Source organism: Homo sapiens, chromosome 10 (assembly GCF_000001405.40).
Source record: "Homo sapiens chromosome 10, GRCh38.p14 Primary Assembly".
Classification (NCBI taxonomy): Eukaryota; Metazoa; Chordata; class Mammalia; order Primates; family Hominidae; genus Homo; species Homo sapiens.
This window is the reverse complement of record NC_000010.11, coordinates 32,169,776-32,191,777: the sequence shown is the minus strand read 5'-3', so window position 1 is coordinate 32,191,777 and position 22,002 is coordinate 32,169,776. Positions and strand designations below refer to the sequence as shown.

The 22,002-nt window shown below is 45.8% G+C and overlaps 2 pseudogenes; one reads left to right on the top strand and one right to left on the bottom strand.

Moving 5' to 3' along the window:
• PPIAP31 (peptidylprolyl isomerase A pseudogene 31) lies at positions 2,923-3,653 on the top strand (annotated as a pseudogene).
• Positions 18,035-18,093, bottom strand: RNU7-22P (RNA, U7 small nuclear 22 pseudogene; annotated as a pseudogene).

Below are 22,002 nucleotides of genomic sequence, written 5' to 3'. Positions count from 1 at the left end.
TGGAATAAACATAAATTGGTTGGAAAAAATAAAAATTCCACCAACTTATCATAGGATTATTATATAATATGCAACATAATAACTGGCAGTACAATAAGTGCTCAATAAATGTTTCCAGCCATTTTTAAAATCACAAACTTGAGAGAAAAGGCTGAAATGTTACTCTAAATTCTCCTGCAAGAGTTTACTGAGCAAATATATACAACTCTTATATAGCAATGAAAGTAAATAATTTAAAAAATGCTTGCTGAGGATTCTGTCCTTTCAATTCTTGGGGAACAGTATCTGAGTGATCTGTGGCCAGTGAACTCTCCAAAAAAATTATTTCTAAGAATAGATTGCTGCAAATATGGGGAGCTCCTAAATATGAAACAAGCATTGTCACCAGGGAATGCTGAGAATCCTGCAAGATAAATAGAAATTTAACATTCAGTGTGCTTAAGTAGTAGTCACAATAATTAATACTCTTAAGCAGAATTATATGCCAAATTCTGGCCAGGACATAGCATTAGACAGTTTTTCTGCCCAAAGAGCACTTTGCTGCTCACTTATTTACATTTTCCATTATTTGGAACCCAAATAGATTTTTCTTACTTTGTTACATTAAAAGTCACTGTGGAATACAGTTACAGAGAACCCAAAAAGTATTTTAAGATTTGAAAGTGATTGTCTGGGTAGTTTTTAGACCAAAAGTTGCCATCTAGTGGCACTAATTATTAGTGCAGACACAGTGAAACAAAAGAAAAAAAAGGGAACTAATATTTTTCTAGAAACTGTTCTGTGCCAAGCACTGCAATAGGTACTTTATTTCTTTACATCTTTTAGTCTTCTCCCATCTTCTTTGTTATGAATGTGTCACTTCTGTCATGCCTCCTCACAAGCTGATGATGAGAAGCAAAAGAGTTGTTTCTGTTAACATTTCATGGAGATGCAATAGGAGAAAAGCCAGAGAGGAGTAGTCTAGAAATGGAAGCTTCATTAAAAGAGAGAGAGCAATACAGAATGAGGAGTTCTAGGACTCACATATCAGGCACCTTCTTCCATGATCATGTGAGTTACATGAATCAGTGGATCCCCACATTGCCTCGGATGTAAGAACTCCGTAGAAAGCAGTGAGAACAGTGACCGTGATGCTGATAACTGTATCATAAGCTTTTTGGGACAGAGACCACATCATATAGTGTTTGCATTCTCTGTGGTCCACGAAGCCTCTTCTGTAAGAGCACTCATCCTGTTCATGAGGACTCCACCTTTATGACCTAATCACCTTTGGGAGGTGCAAGATAAATAGAAATTTATCACCTCCACACCTACAATACAATCACATTAGGGATTAGGTGTCAACATGTGAATTTTTTTTTTTTTTTTTTTTTTTTTTTAGACACAGTCTTGCTCTGTTGTCCAGGCTAGAGTGCAGTGGCACTATCTCTGCTCACTGCAACCTTCATCTCCCGGAGTCAAGTGATTCTCCTGCCTCAGCCTCCCGAGTAGCTGGGATTACAGGCGTGCACCACCACGCTGGGTGAATTTTTGTATTTTCAGTAGAGCCAGGGTTTCACCATGTTGGCCAGGCTGGTTTTGAACTCCTGACCTCAGATGATCTGCCTGCCTTGGCCTCCCAAAGTGCTGGGATTACAGGTGTGAGCCACTGTGCCCAGCTTCGACATGTGAATTTTGAGGGGACTTAAACATTCAATCTACAGAAGAAACTAAATATCCCCACTCCTCTGAGGGCAAGAGGAAGAAAGGCTTTGGTCTGCCTCCTGCTCTGTCCACAAGCCTGGGTCCAGGCGGCTGGGAAAGGAACCCTGAGGACTTTCCTAACTAGTCACTTGAAGTCCACTTCATCAATAACGATGCCCCAGCTACCTTGGGAGAAATGGCCTCTCGCCCAGCAGGGATGCAGAATGAGAACTTTCACAAGAATGTTGACTGAAGGAGGTAATCAATACTCTTGCAGTTATTTCAAACACAAAAGCCTATGAAGGCAACTCAATTACTCTCACGCCTCCTTTTCTGACTTACTTTCAGAACCTTGTCAAAGGCTAGTAGTGTTGGGTGCCTTTTTTTTTTTTTATTCATTTACTTACACTATTCAAGCATGCTCTTTTCCTGGTAGAATTTTTTCTGCTTTCTGGATAAAGACACCCAGTGTCCAAAAAGTGAACAGCATGGGAATATGGAGACTTATCAGATGGAACTTTGACCTCCAAAGAGGCTTTGCTGCATCTTTTCTTCCTTCCTTGTCTGTTTTGTCATTTCCTATTTTTTTTTTTTTTTTTTTTAGACAGAGTCTTGCTCTGTCACCCAGGCTGGAGTGCAGTGGCAAGATCTTGGCTCACGGCAACCTCCACCTCCTGGGTTCAAGTGATTCTCCTCCCTCTGTCTACAGAGTAGCTGGGATTACAGGTGCCCACCACCACGCCCAGCTAATTTTTTTTTTTTTTTTTAAAGTAGAGACGGGGTTTCACCATGTTGGCCAGGCTGGTCTACAACTCCTGGCTTCCAGTGATCCACCCACCTCGGCATCCCAAAGTGCTGAGATTACAGGCATGAGCCACCATGCCTGGCCTATTTTGTCATTTCTTATTTTCATTTATTTGGTTCTTTTTATCTGGCAGTGTTGTAGGAGTTATTAAGAAATTATTGGCTGGGTGCGGTGGCTCACAGCCTATAATCCCTGCTCTTTGGGAGGCCGAGGCAGGTGGATCACTGGAGGTCAGGAGTTCCAGACCAGCCTGACCAACAAGGTGAAACCCCATCTCTACTGAAAAATACAAAATTAGCTGAGCATGGTGGCAGGCATCTTTAGTCACAGCTATTCGGGAGGCTGAGACAGCAGAATTGCTTGAACCCGAGAGGTGGAGGTTGCAGTGAGCCGAGATTGTGCCACTGCACTCCAGCCTTGGTGATGGAGCCAGACAGACGCTGCTGCCGAGGAAAACCTTGTATTATTAGGCATGGTCAACCCCACCGTGTTCTTCGACATTGCCATCGACGGCGAGCCCTTGGGCCGCGTCTCCTTTTAGCTGTTTGCAGACAAGTTCCCAAAGACAGCAGAAAATTTTCGTGCTCTGAGCACTGGAGAGAAAGGATTTAGTTATAAGGGTTCCTGCTTTCACAGAATTATTCCAGGGTTTATGTATCAGGGTCGTGACTTCACACGCCATAATGGCACTGGTGGCAAGTCCATCTATGGGGAGAAATTTGAAGATGAGAACTTCATCCTAAAGCATACAGGTCCTGGCATCTTGTCCATGGCAAATGCTGGACCCAACACAAATGGTTCCCAGTTTTTCATCTGCACTGCCAAGACTGAGTGGTTGGATGGCAAGCATGTGGTCTTTGGCAAAGTGAAAGAAGGCATGAATATTATGGAGGCCATGGAGCGCTTTGGGTCCAGGAATGGCAAGACCAGCAAGAAGATCACCATTGCTGACTGTGGACAACTCGAATAAGTTTGACTTGTGTTTTATCTTAACCACCAGACCATTCCTTCTGTAGTTCAGGAGAACACCCTTCCACCCCATTTGCTCGCAGTATCCTAGAATCTTTGTGCTCTTGCTGCAGTTCCATGTTTTCCTTGTTCCCTCCCATGCCTAGCTGGATTGCAGAGTTAAGTTTATGATTATGAAATAAAAACCAAATAACAAAAAAACAAGAAAAGAAATTATTTTAGTCAGATAGAGACAAAAGGGGTCCTTTGGAAGTTTTCGTTTTTTAAAGCATCTCTGGAAAAGTTTCTTGTAAAGCCCCAGCTCTTAGAGCCAGGCTGGCAACCTTTGATAAGCAAATGATGGCCATTAGAAACTGGGTCCACCCAAACATGGCCATTCCTGCAGCCTTCTTGCCCTTGCCCCACATGTTCCTGGCAATATGGCCGCCCCCGCATATCCCCACATGTGTAGAACATCATGGCACCCTGTATTTGCATATTAAAAAGCTAGGGTGGGAGAGCCAGCTTTTTCACGGGCTACGTGAATGACATGCCTGGCCAAACCAATCCCCTGAGCCCTATGTAAATCAGACACCACCTCCTCCAGCCTCTGTATATATACCTGGCTGGTATCCGTGGCAGGTGGGGTTTCCTCTTTTGGCTTTAGAGGCCCCCCTCCCTCTGTCTCTGTATGGGGGAGGGTCTTCCTTCTGTCTTCTCCCTTCCTTCTTGCCTATTAAACTCTCCAGTCATTAAAACTACTCCACGTGTGTCCCTGCCGTTTTTTCTAATTCAACTTGAGAGGAAGAACCTGGTGTTCCTTCACTCATTGGAGCTGTATCAGCAGCTCCACTTAACTTAAATCTCAGAGCTAAAAATGTTGCCTTAAAGAAATTTTTTTAAAGAACAGGTTTAGAGAAATTAGTGGTCTCAAAACTGGAGTAGGGACTTAATTTTTGTCAAGTTAGGGTTGTAGGAGAAACCAGGAAAAGTATTACTGTTCTCTCTACAGCTAAGACAGAGATTTAGGGGGATATGCTGAGGCACACCACTTCCCTAAATTTAGTAACTTGCTAGAGAGCTCCAAGACTCAATAGGAAATTATACTCATGGCTCAGATTTATTACAGCCAATGATACAGAATAAAAGCAAGCAGGAAATAGACATGCAATGGAGGAGTCCAGAGAGGTCTCACACAGGCTTCGGATGTCCTTCCCTGTCCGAGACCACAGGAGTGCTTTCTTTTTCTGGCAGCAAAACTACACTACAGGAACGTGTGTGGAATATCTCTATCCAGGGAAACCCACTGGAGTATCAGGGTGCAAGGTTTACTGGGAGAGGATGGTCACATACGCATATTCTCTTAGCAACCAGCCATGGCAACCAAAATTGAGAACCCAACACAGAATCTAGGTGCCCATCCTCAATCTTGATTTTTTTTTTTTTTTTTTTTGAGACAGAGTCTTACTCCGTCACCCAGGCTAAAGTGCAGTGGCGTGATCTCGGCTCACTGCAACCTCTGCCTCCTGGGTTCAAGTGCTTCTCCTGCCTCAGCCTCCCGAGTAGCTGAGATTACAGGCGCATGACACACCAGGCTAATTTTTGTATTTTTCTTAGTAGAGATGGGGTTTCACCATGTTGGCCATGCTGGTCTCTATCCCTGACCTCAAGTGATCCTCCAGCCTCAGCCTCTGCCTCCCAAAGTGCTGGGATCACAGGTGTGAATCGCCACGCCCGGCCACTCATTTCTGATGTTTGTGTGAAGAAATTTCACCATCTGATCTGGCACAGTCCATTGCTCCTGGTGTGTATGAGAAAATCACCAATCACTAACTATCACAAAGAACATTCCAAGGGCCACATTCCCAGAGTTGGCCAATGGTCAATCATGGTACCCTGATATATGCAAGGAGTAGGCTACCAGATCTGCTTGTTAACTCTTTCCTCCCAGGAGGGCACTAGTAACTCCAACTGGTGGCACCAGAAAGTCAGGAGCTGAAAATATACAACTATGACCCAGGTTGGTCAATTAGGTTCTCCTATAAAATTGACTGTCCATCAACTATCAACAGAAATACTAATTCATCACTAATTTAAATTCATTAACAGATATGACATTCCAAACAAAATTAAAAGAAGGAAATATATTTACGCACAAGTAAAGTATCGTCCTCATCCTAGAGGAAATATAAATGAAAGGCATTTGAAAATGATAAGCATTAGGTAAGTGTGACCCCTGTTAATGCCCCGCAGGACTGGCAAACAGGCTCAGGCCTTCCCTACTAAGAACCCAGCCTGCTTAATGGATGATCTCAGAGGCAGATAAGTGCACTTCATGGTCAGAAGCTTCAGACCCCTGTCCCCTCTTCCCTGTTCCCTGAGCCTGAACAAGACAGCTGTGGAGTTTTGTCTTGATGACTTTTTTTTTCGAGATGGAATCTCGCTCTGTCACCCATGCTGGAGTGCAGTGGTGTGATCTTGGCTCACTGCAACCTCCACCTCCGAAGTTCAAGCGATTCTTGTGCCTCAGCCTCCCGAGTAGCTGGAATTACAGGCACCCGCCACCACGCCCGGCTAATTTTTTGTATTTTTAGTGGAGATGGGGTTTCACCATGTTGGCCAGGCTGGTCTCAAACTCCTGATCTCAAGTGGTCTGTCTGTTTTAGCCTCCCAAAGTGCTGGGATTACAGGCATGAGCCACCACGCCTGGCTTCTTGATAACTCTCTTTAGCTGAAAGTCACTCATTCCTTGACCCACTCGCATTTCCAGCGGATACTCAAACTAGGTGCCTTTTCTCAAAGAGAACTGCATTTACTTTTCCAAAGAGATTTTTTTTTTGAAAATTTCCCCCTAAATTCATTCTTACTGTAGGCTTCTTTGTCCAAATCAGAAACAGAAATTGCATTACCCTCGGCCACCCAATACTATGTTTAGCCACCTTAGATGTTTAGATATTTGAGATGATCTAATCCAGTTTTCTCATTTCCAGGTACAAACTTTTATTTTTATTTTAGACCTGGGGTCTTGGTCTGTAGCCAGATTGGAGTGCAGGAGTGCAATTCTAGCTCACTGCAGCCTCAAGCTCCTGGGTTCAGGTGATCCTCCCCTGTCAGCCTCCTGTACCTAGGACTACAGGAGCGCACCACCATCCCAGCTATTTTTATTTCATTTTATTTTTTCTTTTTTATAGTCTCTAATTGAAGTTATTTATTTAGTTAGTTAGTTTTTGACAGCTCTGTTACTCAGGCTGGAGTGCAATGGTGCGATCTCAGCTCACTGCAACCTCTGACTCCTGGATTCAAGCAATTCTTCTGCCTTAGCCTCCCAAGTAGCTGGAATTACAGGTACACACCACCACATCCAGCTAATTTTTGTATTTTTAGTAGAGGCAGGGTTTCTCCATGTTAGCCATGCTGATCTCGAACTCCTGACCTCAGGTGATCTGCCCACCTCAGCCTCCCAAAGCGTTGGGATTAGTGGATCACCACGCCCGACCTCTAATTGAAGTTAAAATGTATTTTTTTTCTTTATTTTTTGTAGAGGCAAGGTCTCTCTATGTTGTCCAGGCTGCTCTCAAACTCCTGGCCTCAAGCAATCCTCCCACCTTGGCCTCCCAAAGTTGGGATTACAGGCATGAGCCAGTGCACCCAGCCTTCAGATACAGATTGAAACCTGAGGCCACCTAACCTATCCAAGGTCCCACAACTTACGGGTGACACCTGCCTCTTGTCCTGCAACCTCATGTACTACCTCCCACCGCACACAGCATGCTGGGGCCTCTCATGGAACAGCTGACCTAGGCCCACCAACCTGGTGTCATAACAGGGTTCTACAATGTCTTCGTTATCTATTGATGGATTTGAAATGCTTAGGGGGGATATTGTAATGGACCCGGCAAATGGTGGCTTGGCAGCCACGATCATAAATTCACTTGACTAAAATTTTGGAGCTTAATTTTTTTTTTCTTTAAAGAAAAGGGGCCAGGCGTGGTGGCTCACGCCTGTAATCCCAGCACTTTGGGAGGCCAAGGTGGGCAGATCACTTTAGGTCAGGAGTTTGAGACCAGCCTGGCCAACATGGTGAAACCCCGTCTCTACTAAAAATACATAAATCAGCCAGGGGTTGTGGTGGGTGCCTGTAATTCCAGCTCCTTGGGAGGCTGAGGCAGGAGAATCACTTGAACCTAGGAGGCAGAGGTTGTGGTGAGCCAAGATCACACCATTGCACTCCAGCCTGGGCAACAAGAGCAAAACTACATCTCAAAAAAAAAAAAAAAAAAAAAAGGAAACCCCATCCCTACTAAAAATACAAAAATTAGCCGGGTGCAGTGGTGCACGCCTGTACTCCCAGCTACTCGGGAGGCTGAGGCAGGAGGAGAATTGCTTGAACCTGGGAGGTGGAGTTTGCAGTGAGCCAAGATCGTACCATTGCACTCCAACCTGGGTGATAGAGTGAGACTTCATCTCAAAATAAATAAATAAATAAATAAATAAATAAATAAATAAATAGTATTTGAGAAGGACAAATGAAGGAGAGAAGAAGGGAGAAAAACCCAGGAATTAAAGTCAATTAATTTAACATCAGTAACTGAAAAAAAAAAGAGCTATCCATCCCATAATCACTTTCATGGAACATCAGGAAATGAACAAGGCAGCACGTTCCCTCTTAGATAATAAATAATGTTAAATTCACCAGAGTTGTTCTGACAAGATTACAAATTTACTGCATGGAATAATGTGCTGGACATTCTATTTCTGTACATGGTGAGTCTAATGAGAAACAAATGCAGTTCTCATATTCTTCTTTTTTTTTTGAGTCGGAGTCTCGCTCTGTCACCAGGTTGGAGTGCACTGGCACGATCTCGGCTCAATGCAATCTCTGCCCTCCGGGTTCAAGTGATTCTCCTGCCTCAGCCTCCCAAGTAGCTGGGATTACAGGCATGCGCCACCAAGCCCAGCTAAATTTTTTTTGTATTTTTAGTAGAGACAGGGTTTCACCATGTTGGTCAGTATGGTCTCAATCTCTTGACCTTGTGATCAGCCCGCTTCGGCCTCCCAAAGTGCTGAGATTACAGGCATGAGCCACCACGCCTAGCCTCTTCTTTTTTTTTTGAGATATGATCTCTGTCACCCAGGAAGGAGGGCAGTGGTATCATCATGGCTTACTGCAGCCTCGACCTCCCAGGCTCAAGCGATTCTCTCTTCTTACCCACCTGTGAAGCTGGGACTACAGGTACATGCCACCACACCCGGCTAATTTTTTAGTAGAATTAGGGTCCCAATATGTTGCCCAGGCTGGTCTTGAACTCCTGGGTTCAAGCGATCCTCCCACGTTGACACCTCACAGTGTTGGGGTTACAGGCATGAGCCACCGGCCCCGGCCCAATTCTTTCCTTATCTGGATTTCAGCCAGGTACTTCCACCCAATCCTACACACAGATTGTATTCAGAATCCCAACAGAACCAGATGGCCGTTCAGCCCAGTATTGCATTAGTAAGTAGCAAGAATGAGGACAGCTCAGTTCTGAGTTGGGTCCCACAAACACCCTGTCCACAGCCTCAGAGGTGTGGTGGGAGAAGCAATTTATTTCGTGTCTTGTCCCCAGTCCTGTGGGGCTGTCGGGCAGTTGCTGTGTCTGCGGAGATGAAGTTTCCCGCTGGCATCTCCCCACCCACCCGGGGCAGCAGCTGGGGTCTTCCTCCTGCAGAAGCCCGACAGGCAGCTGCGAGTCACCCCACACTCTGATGGTCTCACTCGTGATCAGAGGGGAGCGCCACTTGAACACTGAGAGCCACATAATGCTGAGCTTAACATGCTGTTTAGAACCAGGGCATTACATTTGTTCTGTTTTCCAAGTCTCGTGGGTAAAAAGAAAATAAGCAAGAAATACACTTTTAGGTTTCTTTTTTCCAGAAACTATATAATTGTGGATCCTAACTTTTTCCAGGGTTTTCCTCTTGTCATTTCAAAATAAAAAGTCTCCCCTTGGTTGGGCGTGGTGACTCACGCCTGTAATCCTAGCACTTTGGGAGGTTGAGGTGAGTGGATCACTTGAGGTCAGGAGTTGGAGACCCGCCTGGTCAACTTGGTGAAACCCCGTCTCTACTAGAAATACAAAAATTAGCCGGGTGTGGCAGTGCACACCTGTAATCCCAGCTACTTGGGAGGCTGAGGCAGGAGAATCACTTGAACCCAGGAGGTGGAGGCTGCAGTGAGCTGGGATAGCGCCACTGCACTCCAGCCTGGGCAACAGTGAGACTCCATCTCAAAAAAATAAAAACTTAAAAAAAAAAACTCTCCCCTCAATTCCCCAACTTTTTTTTCCAAATCATGTGACTTCAATGGAGCCAGAAATATTGACTGTGTTTAATAACCTGCCTGCTTTCCCTGTTCTTCTCCCCTCTCCTCACACCCTGTAACAACAGCCAATAAATCAGGAGACAAGGTGCTGGGGCAAGGGAGACGACTTTATTTAGAGAGCCAGCAAATCATGAAGATGGCAGACTGCTGTCCTAACACTGTAACTCATCATGAATTAATATAAACTTCGGGCCCCTGTTATGTTAGGGAAAGGGGAAGAGGAAGGGGGTTGAGACCAAGAGGTGACCGATGACCACAGATATCTGGGCACCAGCAAGGACCCGAGGAGGTTGGGAACCTTCTCTGTCTTGCTCATGTGACAATATTCCTATAAATCTTTTTTTTTTCTTTTGAGACACAGTCTCACTCTGTTGCCCAGGCTAGATTGCAGTGGCACAATCACTGCAACCTCCACCTCCCAAGTTCAAGCAATTATTCTGCCTCAGCCTCCCGAGTAGCTGGGATTACAAGTGTGCACCACCACGCCCGGCTAATTTTTGTATTTTTAGTAGAGACAGGGTTTTACCATGTTGGCCAGGCTGGTCTTGAACTCCTGACCTCATGATCCACCCGCCTCGGCCTCCCAAAGTGTTGGGATTACAGGCGTGAGCCACCACGCCCGGCCTATAAATCTTTAACATAACATTGTGATTTGTGTGTACTCCCTTCTTATTTCCTTGGGAATTAGTTTCGGGAAGGGAATATTATCATCCTCATTTTAAAGTTAAATTAGGCCGGGCGCAGTGGCTCACACCTATAATCCCAGCACTTTGAGAGGTCAAGGCGGGTGGATCACTTAAGGTCATGAGGTCAAGACCAGTCTGGGCAACATGGCGAAACTCCGTCTCTACTAGTAATACAAAAATTAGCCGGGCATAGTAGCGCACACCTGTAATCCCAGCTACTCTGCAGGCTGAGGCAGTTGGCTCGCTTGAGCCTGGGAGGCAGAGATTGCAGTGAGCAGAGATCTTGCCACTGCACTCCAGCCTGGGCAACAGAGCAAGACCCTGTCTCAAAACAAAAACAAAAACAAAACAAAACAAACTATAAACTAAATTCCTCCCATAGTTAGCTTGGCCTAGGATCCTTTGTGCAGATATAAGTAAAAGCAGTTAACAGATACCGTGGGAGTGGGAGTGGTTAGGAGCCAAATGGAGCTGTCATGTTCCCAGAACCAAGCAAGGTCCGGCTGTGTTTTCTTGAGAACCAATAACGAGAAACAGACAAACTAGGAAAGAAGGGAATTTATTGCTATAACCGGATACAGGGAGAAGGCCGGAGATAATTCCACCAGACCAACTCAAAGTGTTACAATTTCTTTTTTTAAAAAATTTATTTTAGACCACGCCTTACAATTTTCTTAGTGCTTATATTGGCTGCGGCTATGTGCCTACGTGCAGTAAAACATTTGCCTAAGGCTACTGATAACTAATTTTGCTTCAACTAGAAGGTCAGAGGCAAAAAAAAAAAAATACTTGCTCAGTCCAATTAAAAGGGCCCCAGGACCTTCAAGGCCTGTCTACTGTGGTACCGGAGTGATTATTTCTAGCTTATGTCCTTCACAGCTTGGTCCGGAGAGCTGCCTTACACTCTCCAATGAATCTATTCAAACAGCTGCCTCAGTTATTTTGACTCGTCTCAGATTTTGTCGACCCGAGAAGGGTTTTGGCACTGGGAATGTAAGACTGTCTCTATTATTTTGGCTTGCTCCAGGTTAGGGAGAAGCCCATTCAAGGCTCCGACTGACCGTATGTTTCATTTCTAGCTTTGATGTCTGGGCACTGATTTCCCTAGGTTTAACTATTTGCTCCATGTTAAGGCGGCGCTGTGGATATCTGCCTGTGTAACTGGAGTGCTATGCAGGCCTGTCTGTGTGACTGTCATGTAGGCCTGTCTGTGTGATTGCCAGGGAGGATTGGCCTGCCACAGTCATGCTAGGCCTCCTTTTTACTGCTACACCCTTGGCGCATCTTCATATTTTTTCCCCATGCGGGAAGAAACTGTCTCTACAGATCAGCCCAGCAAGCTTCCATGACACCAGATCTGGGCCAAGCTGGTGTGCTCCCTCCTCCCCCTGAAATGTGCCCAAACACCAGGCCCTTAGATTCCCTTTTCCTTCAAAGAGACTCTCTAGCCTGTAGCCAACCCGGACAGAGCTCCACTCATGCCACCCACCCACCCACATCTGCACACACACCAACACTGGCTGTCACTTACAGAAAGCTCTGCTACAACAGAGCTTCTCTGAGGGCTGTTCCTCAGAGTTAACCCCCAGGGGACACCCTCAGTGCATGAAGCGGGGGTGAGGGGGTTGATGAATAAATACACCACCTTATTCACCCCTTTCTAGGACAATTCTGGGGCTTTTTCCACAGACTCACACATGTTCCCAGCAGGACCGAACCCTTATTGCCCATAGCAGTAATTTGCTCAGTCACAAGCCCAAATGTCAGAAGGTGTGTGAACCAGAGCAACTCCATCTGGAGTAGGGGCTGGGTACAATGAGACTGAAACCCACTAGGCTGCATTCCCAGATGGTTAAGGCATTCTAAGTCACAGGCTGAGATAGGAGGTCAGCACAAGATACAGGTCACAAAGACCTTGCCAATAAAACAGGCTGCAGTAAGAAGCTGGCTAAAACCCACAAAAACCAAGATGGCGATGAGAGTGACCTCTGGTCATCCTCACTGCTACACTCCCACCAGTGCCATGACGTTTACAGATGCCATGGGAGCATCAGGAAGTTACCCTATATGGTCTAAAAAGGGGAGGCATGAATAATCCACCCCTTGTTTAGCAGTTAGTCAAGAAATAACCATAAAAATGGGCAACCAGCAGCCCTTGGGGTTGCTCTGTCTATGGAGTAGCCATTCTTTTATTCCTTTACTTTCTTAATAAACTTGCTTTCACTTTAGGACTCACCCTGAGTTATTTCTTGTGTGACATCCAAGAACCTCTCTTGGGGTATGGATCGGGACCCCTTTCCTGTAACACAAAGACAATAATTGCACCCAAATTCTCATCTCAGAGTCTGTTTTGGTGGAAATGCAAACTAAAATAAACTTCTTCCTTTTTTTTTTGAGACAGAGTTTCACTCTTGTTGCCCAGGCTGGAGTGCAATGGTGCGATCTAGGCTCACCGCAACCTCCGCCTCCCGGGTTCGAGCGATTCTCCTGCCTCCGCATCCCGAGTAGCTGCTATTACAGGCATGTGCCACCACGCCCTGTTCTCTTGAAGGTGGCCTCCTTCTTTATTTTAGACACAGGGTCTCACTCTGTCACCCAGGCTGGAGTGCAGGGACATGATCATAGCTCACTGCAGCCTCAAATTCTTGGGCTTCAGCTGTCTTCCAACCTCTGCCTTCCAAGAAGCTGGGACTACAGGTGCATGCCACCACACCAGCTAATTTTTTTTTCGTTATTTTTATTTCTTGTTTATTTTTCTTTTTTTATAGACATGAGGTCTCACTATGTGTTGCCTGGGCTGGTCTCAATCTCCTGGGCTCAGGTGATCCTCCTATCTTGGCCTTCCAAAATGTTGGGATTAGAGACATAAGCCACTGCCCCCAGCCTCCGGCTAATTTTTAAAAAATATTTATGTAGAAATGGGGTCTTGCTATGTTGACCAGACTGGTTTTGAACTCCTGGCCTCAAGCGATCCTCCTGCCTCAGACTCCCAAAGTGCTAGGATTACAGGCATGAGCCACTGCGCCTGGCCTCCAAATTCTGTAATAGGTCCTTCCCTAGTTCTCTTCCTGTCTCCCTCCAAGGGTGTTCCCCCGAGTCTGTGGTTGGCCCTTCTTGCCATCGTCTTCTGAACAGTGTCCTCTGCAGTCTCATCCATTCTGACTTCAACCATCATCTTTCTTTCTCTTTTTTTTTTTTTTTGAGACGGAGTCTCACTCTGCCACACAGGCTGTAGTGCAATGGCGTGATTTTGGGTCACTACAATCTCTGCCTCCTGGGTTCAAGTGCTTCTCCGGCCTCGCCTCCTGAGTAGCTGGGATTACAGGCACGTGCCACCATGCCCGGCTAATTTTTTTGTATTTTTAGTAGAGATGGGGTTTTACCATGTTGGCCAGGCTGGTCTCAAACTCCTGACCTCAGGCAATCTGCCCGCCTTGGCCTCCCAAAGTGCTGAGATTACAGGATTGAGCCACCACGCCCAGCCTCAACCTACGTCTTTCAAGAGGCAATCCCAGTTCTGAGCCTCTAGGGCCAACCTCAGTTTGTAACTTCAGCCATGCATCTGTGTTTTCCTGCAGGAACCGTACACCTCTGTGCTTGTGGTGTTCCTAAAAACCCTGTGGGAAAAGCAGGGGCAGGCAGGGCTCACCACGGTGGAACTGGGACCCACATTTCAGCCACTCTCCCACTCCCTGCTGGGTGAAGCATTGAGTAGCTACAGTTAATTACAGAAGCCTGGTCTTGGCTTTACCCTCTTCATTGGGGATACCATGGAGCCTGACTTGGGGACTCCTACTCTGGGGACAGTAGCAGGGAGTGGGTGTGACTTGAACCTCCTGAGTTACCTCCACCCAAATCTGAGTTGCTCCCCAGAACAAGTCCATGGTTCCTGCTTGGAGAGCATTTGTTTGTTTGTTTGTTTGTTTGTTTGTTTGTTTTTTGAGACAGAGTCTCGCTCTGTCGCCAGGCTGGAGTGCAGTGGTATGATCTCGGCTCACTGCAACTTCCGACTCCCTGGTTCAAGCGATTCTCCTGCCTTAGCCTCCCGAGTAGCTGGAATTACAGGTACGCGCCACTATACCCAGCTAATTTTTGTATTTTCAGTAGAGACGGGGTTTCACCATGTTGTCCAGGATGGTCTCGGTCTCCTGACCTTGTGATTCACCCGCCTCAGCCTCCCAGAGTGCTGGGATTACAGGTGTGAGCCACTGTGCCCGGCTGGAGAGCTTTTCGTTAGATCCCCAGCCAGGGCTTAAAACTGATCTGAGCCCATCACCTTCTTCTTCTATTAAATTTTTTAATTATTATTTTTTGAGATGGAGTCTAGCTCTGTCACCCTGGCTGGAGTGCAGTGGCATGATCTCGGCTTACTACAACCTCTACCTCCTGGGTTCAAGTGATTCTTGTGCTTCAGTCTCTTGAGTAGCTGGGACTACAGGAGTGTGCCACCATGCCCAGCTAATTGTTGTATTTGTAGTAGAGACAGGGTTTCAACATGTTGGCCAGGCTGGTGTTGAACTGACCTTAAGTGATCCACCCTCCTCGGCCTCCCAAAGTGCTGGGATTACAGGTGTGAGGCAGCGCACCTGGCCCCTCTTCCATTTTTTAACACCTTCAAAGAGCAGCTCCTTCTCCTATGAATCCACCTTTATGCAGGCACCCGGTTCAATACCTCAAAATCAATCCACTCCTGGCTTTCCTTGCTGCCCATATCCAATCAGTTGCTGAGACCCTATTGGTACTGAAATGGTTCTCTCATATTTTCCTTCCCTCTCTGTTGCTTGCAGAGCCATGTCAGTTCTTGCTGGCAGCTGGACTATGACAGTGACCTTCTACTTGGCCCACCCAGCTCCAGTTTCTCCCTTCCTCTCTGTTCTACCCGACTCAACGGCTGTCACTGGATAAAACCTTCAATGGCTCCCTATTACCTACAGAATAAAGCACAAATTCTGCTGCTTGGTTTTCAGCCTCTTCATGACCTAGGCCCAACTATCTTTTTTTTTTTTTCCTTAACTGATCACTTTTTTTTTTTTTGAAGTGAAATTTATGGCCAGGCACAGTGGCTCATGCCTATAATGCCAGCACTTTGGGAGGCTGAGGTGGGCAGATCACTTGAGATCAGGAGTTCAAGACCAGCCTGGCCAACATGGTAAAACCCCTTCGCTACTAAAAATACAAAAATTAGCCGGGCGTGATGGTGCACACCTGTAATCCCAGCTACTTGGGAGGCTGAGGCAGGAGAATTGCTTGAACCCGGCAGACAAAGATTGCAGTGAGCGAGGATGGCAGCACTGCTCTCCAGCCTGGGTGACAGAGCGAGACTCTGTCTCAAAAAAAACAAAAGAAATTTACATAATATTAACCACTTTTGTTCATTTTGAATGACCAATTCAGTCACATTTAGTGCACTCAAATATTGTGCAACCACCAGCTCTCTCAAGTTTCAAGATTTTTTCCTTTACCTGTAAAAGGAAGCCCTATACCCACTAAGTAATCACTCCCCACTTCTCTGTCCACCCACCTCTTGCTAACCTCTAATCCACTTTCTGTCTTGATGGATTTGCCTAACCTGGATGTTTCATATAAATGGAATGATACATATATGGCCTTTTGTAACAGGCTTCTTTCAGGTAGCTTAATGTTTTCAAGGTTCCTTCATATTGTAGCATGTGTCAGTACTTTGTTCCTTTTTATGGCTGAATACTACTTCGTTAAGAGTTGGCTGGGCACCGTGGCTTACATTTGTAATCCCAGCACTTTGGGAGGCCAAGGTGGGTGGATCACAAGGTCAGGAGTTTGAGACCAGCCTGACCAACGTGGTGAAACCCCGTCTCTACTAAAAATACAAAAATTAGCTGGGCATGGTGGCGCGCACCTGTAGTCCCAGCTACTCAGGAGGCTGAGGCAGGAGAATCGCTTGAACCCAGGGAGCAAAAGTTGCAGAGAGCCGAGATCGCACCATTACACTCCTGCCTGGGCTACAGAGCGAGCCTCTGTCTCAAAAAAAAAAAAAAAAAAAAAAAAAAAAGAGTTGGCTGGGCGCCGTAGCTCACGCCTGTAACCCCAGCACTTTGGGAGGCCGAGGTGGGTGGATCACTTGAGGTCAGGAGCTTGAGATCAGTCTGGCCAACACAACAAAACCCCATCTCTACTAAAAATACAAAATTTAGCCGGGTGCAGTGGTGGGCGCCTATAATTGCAGCTACTCAGGAGATTGAGACAGGAGAATCGCTTGAACCCGGGAGGCAGAAGTTGCAGTGAGCCGAGATTGCGCCACTGCACTCCAGCTTGGGTGACAGAGCAAAACTCTGTCTCCAAAAAAAAGTATACCACATTTGTTTATCCATTCATCAACGGATGGGCTGTTTCCACCTTTGGGTATCACAAATAATGCTGTTGGCTGGGCATGGTGGATCATGCCTGTAATCCCAGCACTTTGCAAGGCCAAGGCAGGCAGATCACCTGATCTCAGGCTCAACATCACAAAACCCTGTCTCTACTAAAAATACAAAAAATTAGCCAGGTATGGTCTTATAATCCCAGCTACACTGGAGGCTGAGGCAGGAAAATTGCTTGAGCGCCGGTGGTGGAGAATGCAGTGAGCCAAGATTGCATCACTACACTCCAGCCTGGGTGATGGGAGTGAAACCCTGTCTCAAAAAAAATTAAAAGCTTAAACAAATAAATAATGCTGCTATAAACACTTGTGTATAAATTTCTGTGTGGACATATGTTTTCATTTCTCTTGGGTGTATACTTAGGAGCGGAATTGCTGGGTCATATGGAAACTCTATGTTTAACTTTCTGAGAAACTGCCAGACTGTTTTCCACAGTGGCTGCACCCTTTATACATTTGCACCAGCAATGCTGAAGGGTTCCAGTTTCTCTATACCCTCACCAACTCTTTTTTTTATTTGAGCCATCCTAGTTGAGGTGGTATCTCATTTTGGTTGTGATTTAATTTCCCTAATGACCAATGACGTGGAAAATCTTTTCATGTGCTTTTTGGCCATGCGTATATCTTCTCTGGAGAAATGTCTATTCATGTCCTTTGCCTGTTTTTTAACTGAGTTATCTGTTTATTTTTTTTGTTTTCTTTTTTTGAGATGGAGTCTCGCTCTGCTGCCCAGGCTGGAGAGTGTGGTGGTGCAATCTCGGCTCACTGCAACCTCTGCCGCCTGGGTTCGAGCGATTCTCCCACCTCAGCCTCCCGAGTAGCTGGGACTACAGGTGCCCGCCATGCCCAGCTAATTTTTGTGTTTTTAGTTAAGACGGGGTTTCGCCATATTGGCCAGGCTAGTCTTGAACTCCTGGCCTCAGGTGATCCACCCGTGTCAGCCTCCCTAAGTGCTGGATTACAGGCGTGTGCCACCATGCCAGGCCCTATGTTATGTTTTTGTTGTTGAGTTGTAAGAGTTCTTTATATATTCTGAATATTGAACCCTTATGAGATATATGATTTGTTAATATTTTCTCCCATTCTGTAGGTTGTCTTTCACATTCTTGATAATGTCCTTTGATGCAAAAGATTTATATTTATTTATTTATTTGGGGGCTTTCCGGCAAAACTGGAAAGCCGGCTAGACAAATTCTAAAAGAGCTGTAACACTCAAAAGATTTTCTTTTAAGAAAAAGAAAGGGAAGAGGAAGAACTGTATCTCACTTTTGTTGCTTTCTATATTTTATATATATATGTATATATACACATATATATATACATATATATACACATATATATACATATATACACATATATATATACATATATACACATATATATACATATATATATACATATATACATATATATACACATATATACACATATATATACGCATATATATACATATATATATACATATATACATATATATACACATATATACATATATACACATATATACATATATATACACATATATATACACATATATATACACATATATATACATATATATATATATATGTATGTATGTATATTTAAAACCAAGGCTGGGCACAGTGGCTCATGCTTATAATTCAGTGCTTTGGGAGGCCAAGGTGGGAAGATATCTTGAGGTCAGAAGTTCAAGACCAGACTGGCCAGGACAGTGAGACCCCGTCTCCATAAAAACTTTTAAGAATAGCCAGGTGTGGTGGTGCATGCCTGTAGTCCTAGCTACTTGAAAGGCTAATGTGGGAGGTTTACTTGAGCCCAGGAGTTTGGGGCTGCAGTGAGCTATGAGTGTACCACTGTTTCAGCCTGGGTGACACAGTGAGACCCTGTCTGTAAAACAAAAATTAAAAAAATTAAGAAACTCCAGAAATTTCTGTGTAACAAAATGCCCATTTGCCCTTGAGGTAGTTCTACTCTACTCTAATAAGCATAACAAACAAAACCAGGACCTAAAACCACTTGTCAATGGGACTGTTTCTTGTATTCTCTTTTCCCTTTCTTCTCTGTTATGATCTGAAGCTTCTTTTTTTTTTTTTTTAAGACTTAGTCTCGCTCTGTCGCCCAGGCTGGAGTGCAGTGGCGCGATCTCGGCTCACTGCAAGCTCCGCCTCCCGGGTTCACGCCATTCTCCTGCCTCAGCCTCCCGAGAAGTTAGGACTACAGGTGCCCGCCACCACGCCCCTGGCTAATTTTTTATATTTTTAGTAGAGACGGGGTTTCACCATGTTAGCCAGGATGAGCTGGATCTCCTGACCTCGTGATCCGACCGCCTGGGCCTCCCAAAGTGCTGGGATTACAGGCGTGAGCCACCACGCCCGGCCATGAGCTGAAGCTTCTAATACCATGTGCATGTTAAGGTTCCTATTCCTGCCTGGCTCTTGTTCTTTTCAGATTGTCAGTTAGCAGCTCTATTGTTAAGTACAAATCACTTTCATTCCCCTTATTAGTCCCGGACCCCAGAGAGGTGGCCTTTCCCCTGGGGTGGGAGGTGTGGGGGGAGGTCCCTTATGTTGTGGGGGGTGGGACGCGGCAGGTCAGAGGGGTCCCTGCTCCATCTCAGGCACAGCCCTGCCTTCCTTCACACCCTTTGCGCAGTTGTTCTTTTCTTTTCTTTTTTTTTTTTTTTGAGACAAGATCTCACTGTGTCACCCAGGCTGGAGTGCAGTGGCAAGATCTTGGCTCACTGCAACCTCCGCCTCCTGGGTTCAAGTGATTCTCCTGCCTCAGCCTCCCGAGTAGCTGGGATTACAGGTGCGTACCACCACACCTGGCTAATTTTTGTATTTTTAGTAGAGATGGGGTTTCACCATGTTGGCCAGGCTGGTCTCAAATTCCTGACCTCAGGTGATCTGCCCACCTCGGCCTCCCAAAGTGCTGGGACTACAGGCGTGAGCCACCGTGCCCGGCCTTATTAAGCCGTTTTAAGAATTAATGGAGGCCAGGCGTGGTGGCTCACGCCTGTAGTCCCAGCACTTTGGGAGGCCAAGACAGGAGGATCACCTGAGGTCTGGAGTTCGAAACCAGCCTGGCCAACATGGTGAAGCCCCATCTCTACTTAAAAACTACAAAAATTAGCCAGGGATGGTGGTGCCTGCCTGTAGTCCCAGATATTTGGGTGGCTGAGGCAGGAGAATTGCTTCAATTTGGGAGGCAGAGGCTGCAGTGAGCTGAGATTGTACCACTGCACTCCAGCCTGGGCAACAGAGCGAGACTCTCTCTGTCTCAAATAAAAAAAAATTAATTGATATGGCTCACCACAAAAAGTTAGAAGTAGGTGATGACAATTTGCAGTTTGTTACAAGGAAACTGTGGCTCAACGAGGCAGTTTGTTACAATGAAAGCAAGTCTCAGAGACTAGAGCTCTTGTCCCACCTACAAATATTGACCAGCAAGCTGGCAAGTAACAGCTGCAGAGCCTGTTCTGTAAGTTCTGTGGAATGGCAGCTTTCTGTTCTTTCAGAACATTGCAGGAAATGTTTACCTAAGGCAGATTCAACAATATCCCAGGAGCTGGACTGCACAGACTTAATGAGGACCGGGTGAGGGAAGCCTCTGAAAGACCAGGACTCAGGGCTGTTTCTTGGGCACCATGCAAAGTATAAGGGGCTACTGGAATTGCAGTGGCAGGAGGATCACGGCAGAACAATCTCTGAAGCCAGTCCAAGGAGCTTAAACCCAGCCATCCCATCAGTATAAAGTTGCTTATAAATCCACTGCGCCAATTAACAAAGCTAACAGAAGGGCTTAGGGTTTCCTCTCTGGAATAGGGGCTCCTGATTAGCCTTTCAGATGCTAACTAAACATCCCCAAATTGTGTGTTTCCAATTAAGAATTGTGAAGGTCAAATCTAACACACACACGCACTTGCGCACACACACACACACAACCTTTGCTGAAGTACAGTACTTAAAAGTAAATCAGACAATATAAAAGCTTACAGCTCTTCAAATCATTTTGTGCTAAGTCAGAAAAAAATGGCATGACTTATATCTAACCATGAATTCTGAAAACAAGCCACAAGTTCACATCTGGGCTCTGTCTTGTACCCAGTAACATAGACAGCCACCTGCCTGATCCCCATACCTCAGTCGGCTTCCCTGACACCCTACCTCCAGGTTTATCCTCTCACTGGGGACCCTGGGCATTTAGGAGTGTCCCTAGAAGGACTTCACATGAAGATGCAGGTAACTAGAGGACCCTTAAAAGGTAGCGCTTCAGCTGGGCATGGTGGCTCACGCCTGTAATCCCAACACTTTGGGAGGCTGAGGCAGGCTGATCACCTGAGGTCAGGAGTTCAAGACCAGCCTGACCAACATGGAGAAACCCCATCTCTACTAAAAATACAAAAATTAGCCAGGCTTGGTGGTGTGTGCCTATAGTCCCAGCTACTCAGGAGGCTGAGGCAGGAGAATCACTTGAACCTGGGAGGTAGAGGTTGCAGTGAGCCAAGATGGCGCCATTGCACTTCAGCCAGGGCAACAAGAGCGAAACTCCATCTCAAAAAAAAAGGTAGCGCTTCAGAAACAGAAAGTCAAATACCACATATTCTCACTTAGAAGCGAGAGCTAAACCATGGGTACCCATGGACATATAGAATGGAATAATAGACACTGGAGACTCCAAAAGGTAGGAGGGTGGGAGGGGGTAAGGGCTGAAAAATTACCTGTTGGGTACGGTGTTCACTGTTTTGGTGATGGGTTCACTGAAAGCCCAGCCTTCACCACTACACAATATGTGCATGGCAGAAATCTGTGCTTGTACCCCCAAAATTTCGAAAAAAGAAAAAAGAAGCAAAAAAGGTAGAGCTTGCACCCACTGCAAATGGTTTATGGGAAGGTGGTGTAGAAAAGGGTCCCTGAAGGTGGCCCTGGGAGAGGAGCCCAGGCAGAGACGGTCCCAGATCATGGGGGAGCCAGGAATGAAAACAGGAGGCTTGGACATCTGGATGTGGGAGGAAGCAGAGGAAACCAGAAGTCAGGAAGGAGCGGTGCAAGATTCTGTTGAGTGCACAAGACCTTGAACATGCTTACAGATTAAATGTCCGTCAGCTGCTTTAGCTGTTCACGGCTTTTCAGATTAGCTG